Source organism: Homo sapiens, chromosome 10, assembly GCF_000001405.40.
Source record: "Homo sapiens chromosome 10, GRCh38.p14 Primary Assembly".
NCBI lineage: Eukaryota > Metazoa > Chordata > Mammalia > Primates > Hominidae > Homo > Homo sapiens.
The window spans coordinates 57,133,130-57,140,797 of record NC_000010.11 but is presented as its reverse complement, the minus strand read 5'-3'; the positions used below and the strand labels follow the sequence as shown (position 1 = coordinate 57,140,797).

Genomic DNA, 7,668 nt, shown 5'->3' with positions numbered 1-7,668 from the left:
TGACATGAAGTCAATAAATCTTATGTCACATGACAAAGGAAAAAGGAAATAAAATAAAGATATTTTCTCAGCGCAAGTGTATAAATGCACAAATATGTTTTTAACAAAAGAAGGAGGAAATATTCATGACAATTACAGTCCTTGTTTTTGTAGCTGGTCATGTGGTCATAGCTGGTATCGATGACTACCTTCTTCTACTACTAATTCTATATTCCCTTTGCCTTCAGCAAGCACCTCAGCAGGCCATGCTTTTTTCGTTTTTCCTGGTGGAGTGACCCAAACCTTAATTCCTGAAGAGTCTGAGCCATTTTTTCCTGCCTGGATTGGACTGTTGCAGTTTTACAATGACCTTAATCACAGGGCATGGTAATATTAAGAGATGCCCTAATAGATCTCCTGTATTCCATGCATACTCTTCCTTACCTTCATTGTGGAGTAGTAGACTGATTTTATCTTGATAGTCTGGCCAATCACCCCAGCCAACACTGTAACTCTCTCCTTAGCCTATTGACTTAAAGGTAGGAGGAGCCCAAAGTATCCAGGTGGCAATCTTAACTTCCCTTTATTTGAATTGTTGTGTCTCCTAGGGGCAGCATTCCTCGCTCTGGAACTAAGACTTCTAGGCAAGCAGAATGTAATGTCATGGGAACAGGAAGCAAAAATTTTGCTAGTGGATCACTAGGGGTGATGGTGAGTGGTGCCACTTTCACTTCCACCCCTTGATTCCTGGACACGTGCATCCTGGCTATGGGAGAAACAGTACCATATATTGGATGCTGATTCACAGCATACATGGCCTTCTGGAGAACTTTGCCCAGCTTTGTATTGTCATCTAGTTGGCATTATAACTGTGACTTCAAAAGGCCATTCCACCATTCTGTCAATTCAGCTACTTCAGGATGATGGGGAATATGGTAAGACCAAGGAATTCCATGAACATGAGCCTACTGCCACACTTCTTTAGCTGTAAAGTGAGTGCTTTGTTCAGAGGCAATGCTGTGTGGAATACCATGATGGTGGAAAAGGCATTCCATCAGTCCACAGATGGTAGTTTTAGGAGAAGCATTGAGTGCAAGATAGGCAAACCCATGTCCAGGGTAAGTGTCTATTCCAGTGAAGACAAACCTCTGCCCTTTCCATGATGGAAGAGGTCCAATATAATCAACCTGCCATCAGGTAGCTGGCTGATAACCCCGAGGAATGGTACCATATTGGGGGCTCAGTGTTGGTCTCTACTGCTGGCAAATTGGGCACTCAGCAGTGGCCATAGCCAGGTCAGCCTTGGTGAGCGGAAGTCCATGTTGCTGAGCCCACGTGTAACATCCATTCCTGCCACCATGGCCACTTTGTTCATGGGCCCACTGGGTGATGACATGGATGGCTGGGGAAAGAGGCTGAGTGGTGACAACAGAACGGGTCATATTATCCACTCGATTATTAAAATCCTCCTCTGCTGAGGTCACCCGCTGGTGAACATTCACATAGGATACAAATATCTTCAGTTTCTGACCACTCAGAGAAGTCCATCCACATGCCTCTTCCCCACATACCTTTGTCACCAATTTTCCAATCATGCTTCTTCCAAGTTCCTTGACCATCCAGCCAAACTATTGCTACAGCTCATAAATCAGTATATAATCGCATATCTGGCCATTTCTACTTCCATAAAAAGTGCACAGCCAGGTTCACTGCTCAGAGTTCTGTCCAATGAGAAGATTTCCCTTCACTGCTGTCCTTTAGGGATGTCCTAGAAAGGAACTGTAGTGCTACAGCTGTTGACTTTCGGGTGGTGTCTGTATATCATGCAGAACCATCTGTGAACCATGCCCTACTCTTCTCTTCCTCTGTCAACTGATCATAGGGAACTCCCCATGAGGCCATTGGTACAGGCTGGGGGAGAGAAGGCAGGGTGGCAGGAGTGGAGACCATGGACTTTAGATCCACTTCTTCATGTAAATCACTTTTGCCTTCAGGACCTGCTCAAACCTGATCACATATATATACTACTTGCATTTGATGATGGAATGCTGCTGTGCGTGAGCCACTTTATAACTAGATGGGTCACAAAGCACCCAGTTCATAAGAGGCAGTTCAGGTCACATGGTGACTTGATGACCCATTGTCAAATGTTTGTTTCCACCAAAGCCCAGTAACAGGCCAAGAGCTGTCTCTCAAAAGGAGAGTAGTTATCTGAAGAAGATGGCAGGGACTTGCTCCAAAATCTTAGATGCCTCAGCTGTGATTCACCTATGGGGACCTGCCAAAGGCTCCAAACAGCATCCCTATCTGCCACTGACACCTCAACACCATTGGATCTGTTGGGTCATATGGCTTAAGTGGCAGAGCAGCTTGCACAGCAGCCTGGACCTGATGGAGAGTCTTCTGTTGAGAACCCAACTCAAAGCTGGCAGCCTTTCGGGGTCACTCAATAAATGGGCCAGAGGAACACACCGAAATGAGGAATGTGTTGCATCCAAAATCCAAATAGACCCACTAGGCGCTGTGCCTCTTTCTTGGTTGTAGGAGGGGCCAAATGCAGCAACTTATCCTTTACCTTAGAAGCAATATCTCAACAGGTGCCACACCACTGGACCCCTAGAAATTTTACTAAGGTAAGGTCCCTGAATTTTAATTGGATTTTTTTCCCATCCCCTAGCCTGCAAATGGCTTACCAGTAAGTCCAGTGTGTTTGCTACTTCTTGCTCATTGGGTCCAATCAACATAATGTCATCAATGTAATAGGCCAGGGTGATATCTTGTGGAAGTGAAGAGTGATCAGGGTCTCTCCAAATAAGATGACACAAAGCCGGAGAGTTGATATACCCCTGAGGTAGGACAGTAAAGGTATATTGCTGGCCTTGCCAGCTGAAGGCAAATTGCTTCTGGTGGGCCTGAGATGGGAATGGAGAAAAAGGCATTTACCAGGTCAATGGCTCCATACCAGATACCAGGAGATGTGTTAATTTCCTCAAGCAATGAAACCACATCTGGTACAGCAGCTGCAATTAGAGTCACCCTGTGGTTAAGCTTATGATAATCCACTGTCATTTTCCAAGATCCATCTGTCTTCTGCACAGGCCAAATGGGAGAGTTGAATGGGGATGTGGTGGAAATCATCACTCCTGCGTCTTTCAAGTTCTTGATGGTGGCACTAATCTCTGCAATCCCTCCAGGGATGTGATATTGTTTTTGATTTACCCACCTATTCTTCTAGGTGGAGGTAGCTCTGATGGCTTCCATTTGGCCTTTCCCACCATAGTAGCCCTCACCCTCCCAGTCAGGGAGCCAATGTGGTCTTTCTGCCAGCTGCTAAGTATGTCTGTGCCAATTATGCATTCTAGCACTGAGGAAATGACTACAGGATGAGTCCAGGGACCCACTGGACCCACTGTAAGTTGGACCTGAGCTAAAACTCTTTTGATTACCTGACCTCAATAAGCCCTTACTTTAACTGGAACACCACAATGACGTTTTGGGTCCCCTGGAATCAACGTCAGCTCAGAGCCAGTGTCCAGTAGTCCCCAAAATGTTTGATAATTTCCCTTTCCCCAATGTACAGTTACACTGGTAAAAAGCTGGAAGTCTCCTTGGTGAAGGAAGGGAGAAAGATTAACAGCATAAATTGTCAGTAATGTAGTTGGTTCCTTCCTCAAAGGGACCTGGCCTCCCCTTCATTCAAGAGGTTCTAGGTCTGTAAACTGGCACAAATCTAAAAATTCATTGAGGAGCCATGATTCTCTGTTTTTAAAATTCAAATTAGTCTTTTGTCCATTCGACCCAGAAGTTTTCTGCTTACATAAATTAAGTAGAAATGCAGTATGCTTCCTATCAATTTCACTTCTAAGGACACTGTGATTAATTAGCCAATGCCAGAGCTCAACATGAGTCAGATTATTCTGATTGCCACTTTGCCTCTGCTGTCCATTACAGTAGCTACACCCACTTTGCTTTTGATGGTTGAGTGCTGCCACTTCACCCCTGCCACCTCAGGATCCAATTATTCCCATTTTATTTAAATTTCGTAGTTGAGTGACTGACTGCAGCTCCCACTGTTAGCTCTGACATACAGAGAAGAGCAATTACAGGGCTCTTCAAAGATGCAGGTGCTGTCCTCACAAATCTATTGCACAAGGCATTGGCCAAGGGTATATCTTCTGGGCCCTTCCAGTTCAGATGATAGGTCTAAAATGACTAATCTACTCCACAATCCCAATCTCCTTAAGCCTTTGGATCCCTTCCTCTACATTAAACTAAGAGATATCAGGCATTTCCAGCTCGCTCACATGGGCCATCTATTAATCCATATATCAGCTAACCAAGAAAATAAACTATTAGAACCTTTTGTAACTCCCTCAACTGCAACATTAAATGCAGATTCCCTACTTAGTGGGCCCAAATCAATAAATTCAGCCTGATCCAACCAACTTTGTGTTCCATCCACCGTTATCCCACACCCTTGATATCCATTCCCATGCCTGTTCTCAAGACTTATGCTCATATAAATTAGAAAACTCAAGCAGTTCTTTTCTAGTGTAGCATACCTCCTCATGGGTCACACTCTGAACCTTACCTCTAGGGCCCCACCAGTACTTTAGTCTAGTTATAGGTCTCGAAGCAAACGGGGGTGTTGAGGGTGGCTCCGGAGGAGAATCAACATTATCTTGCCTGGCGACTTCCTTGGTGGAGGCCATCACTGTTGTCTCAGGCAGTGCAGAGTTTATCTCCTCAAACAAATGTGTAAAGGCTGATGGCAGCATGGGTTGGGGAGGGGATGTTGCCACTATTGGGGATGGGGAAGCTATTTCTTCTAGCAAAAAAGGTTCATCAGAGTTTACAAACTCAGTGTCTCCAACATCATCAGGGTCCTCCCACACGTCACCATTACAAGTTGCACATTCCCATTCTTTTCCAATCAATCCCCTGACTTTAACAGGAGACACCTGGTGAGGCTGTGCATGCACCTTTCATTGCATGTCAACCACTCTCATGATAAGAGCTGTGTCTGCTTTTCCACAATTTCAGATCTTTCTCTCCAGAAGATAAGACTCTCACTCAGGGCATTCTTAGCAGATTTGAGGCTGAGTATCCACTTCTGAATCCAGGAGTTAGAATTCCTGAGTTCCTCATTTTTTTTCATCATTGTGTCCACTGAACTTAAGAGAAACCAACCTCCTTCATTATGTTTCTTGGTTCTCCAGATATGGACAAAGGTATTATACAGAGTCACTAAACTCCTTGCCTCTCATGAGCAGAGAATCAAGAGTGTCAAATGCATTTATTCTACATAACTCTCTAAACAGTTTACACCAAGGACTCTCAGTGGTCTCCGTATGTTAGAAGTAGGGTCCTTAGAGTTTTTGTGTCTAATCATATTAAGCAGCCAAGTCCAGAAACCCCAAAAACAATGAAGGGACTTCATCCTTAATAATCTGCTCCCCTAGAACCACTTCTGCTACCAAAATCTGTATTAGTCAGGGTTCTCTAGGACAGAACTAATAGGATATATAGATACAGATATAGATGTAGATATACATAGATATATAGACATAGATATATGTAAAGAGGAATTTATTAAGTATTAACTCACATGGTCACAGGTCTCACAATAGGCCATCTGCAAGCTGAGCAGCAAGGAGAGCCAGTCCAAGTCTCAAAACTGAAGAACTTGGAATCCAGTGTTTGAGGGCAAGAAGCATTCAGCATGGGAGAAAGATGTAGGCCGAGCGGCTAGGCCAGCCTCTCTTTTCACATTTTTCTATCTGCTTTATATTCTAGCTGCACTGGCAGCTGATTAGATGGTGCCCGCCCAGATTGAGGGTGGGTCTGCCTGTCCCAGCCCCCTGACTGAAATGTTAATCTCCTTTGGCAACACCCTCACAGACCCACCCAGGGTCAATACTTTGCATCCTTCAATCCAATCAAGTTGACACTCAGTATTAACCATCACCATGGGGTAAAGGTTGCTAGGCTTGCTGCTGATAGGTTGGGGCAGAGATGAAATCATAGGTGGTGAAACTGTCTTCCTGCCTGCTGAATCACTTCTGGGTCAGGCCACAGGAGTGAGGTTGACAGGTCCAAGTGGAACCATTAGGTCCAGGTGGAACCATGGGTGTCAGACATGCAAAAAACCTGAATAGATATCTCAGAAGGCCGATATACAATAGTGGTGTTATCTGCAGGTGTGACTGGGAATTGTTTATGTGTATAGGCATAATTTAGATTCCTCTCCTCCCCAGTCTGAGGGGCTTTTATTAGGTTTACAAAGGTAGTCGACTTTTGTAGAATGGCTAGTATCATTTAAACTACAATCTAAATGTCTCTCAAAGTTAGCTTGCCCCAAAACCTCAGGACAACTTAGAAAAAGGCAAGACGGGAGGTGGGTTAAATCAGATCTCTTTCACTGTCATAATTTTCTCACTGTTATAATTTTTTTGCAAAGATTGTTTTATGCTTATTTAGCAACCCCTTAAAATAGCTTACAGGTAGGATGTTGACCAGGTCTTCACTACCTGCCTGTTTTCTATTGTATTATTTTCATCATTCTAAGATATCATTTTTGAAGTCCTTCAGCTTTTTTGAGCTTTTGGAAAATATATTCATAACTTTTATGTTATAAAAAGTTATCTGTAAGTTCTAAAACCTATTATAATAACTGGGAAATTTAAATTAAAATTTTATTGCACCTGAATTCACCTTTGTTGCATTGCTTTTCTCTGGTTAAAGGAAGCAATTTATACATGGCATTTTCCAACTTCAGTTTCAAGAGAATACTTTGATATTTTAAAATATTTCAATCCTAAGCAAAATACTGTTGCACAATTCTTCTTAATGTATGTAGAAAATAATATTCATACTTTTGTTAGCCTATTATATTACAGAAATATCCAGAAAACAACAACAAAAAATAATGTGGAAGGCAGCAAATTTTAACTCTGGGGATCATTTGTCAAGTCATTGTGTAAAGTGCTCTTGAATGTAAATTATTGTCATTGTCAAGTAAATTCAGATAATTTGAGTCGAAGATAAAACAATTAAAACAAACTGCTCTTCATTTGATGAAAGATTTTCTTGTATCGGTAGGACTGAGGTGTTCATTCTTTTGCTATTTGTCTTTTAGGGTTTGCTTTCAGCTCCTATAGCTTGGTCTTAATCTGTTGCCTCAATATGGAAGTTTGCTTCTTCCCGATGGAGCAGGAGAATTTCTCCTGGCTTCTACAGTCTGTCTTCAAGAAGGGTCTAGATTGTATTTAAGAGTTCACCTCAATAGGTCACATCCACTCAGGATTAATTTATGGTCAATTGATTTGAGATTTTAGTTCTTTCCTCACATTCCTTTCTGCTTTGGCATGTATTATAAGATAACCTCACGAAGGAAGCGGAATGCATTGTATTCGTGTTCCCACCCACACTCCAGAAGAGAGAGAATGGGGCACCTAACCAGAGGGTAGAAACCTTGGCAGGATGGCATTTCAGAATTCTCTCTACCACAGATTCCTTGCCTTAATATTAAATCCACAGTTCATGAAAAATCTCTTTTCTTAGACTCATAGACCCTTATTAAAGCTAATAGAACCAAAATAACTTAAATATATGCATCAACTTTTTCCTTTTTTAAAAAAAGAAAATGCTAGGAATATCCCTCAGAGCTCTCTATTGGCAACTCTATAG

At 42.6% G+C, this 7,668-nt stretch overlaps 1 annotated feature.

Moving 5' to 3' along the window:
• Positions 6,796–7,338: an enhancer, noted in NCBI's record as "NANOG hESC enhancer chr10:58893220-58893762 (GRCh37/hg19 assembly coordinates)". NCBI's record gives its function as "activates a minimal SCP1, AML or CMV promoter by ChIP-STARR-seq in primed H9 embryonic stem cells {active_cell/tissue: H9 hESC(primed)}" and the evidence as "EXISTENCE:reporter gene assay evidence [ECO:0000049][PMID:30033119]".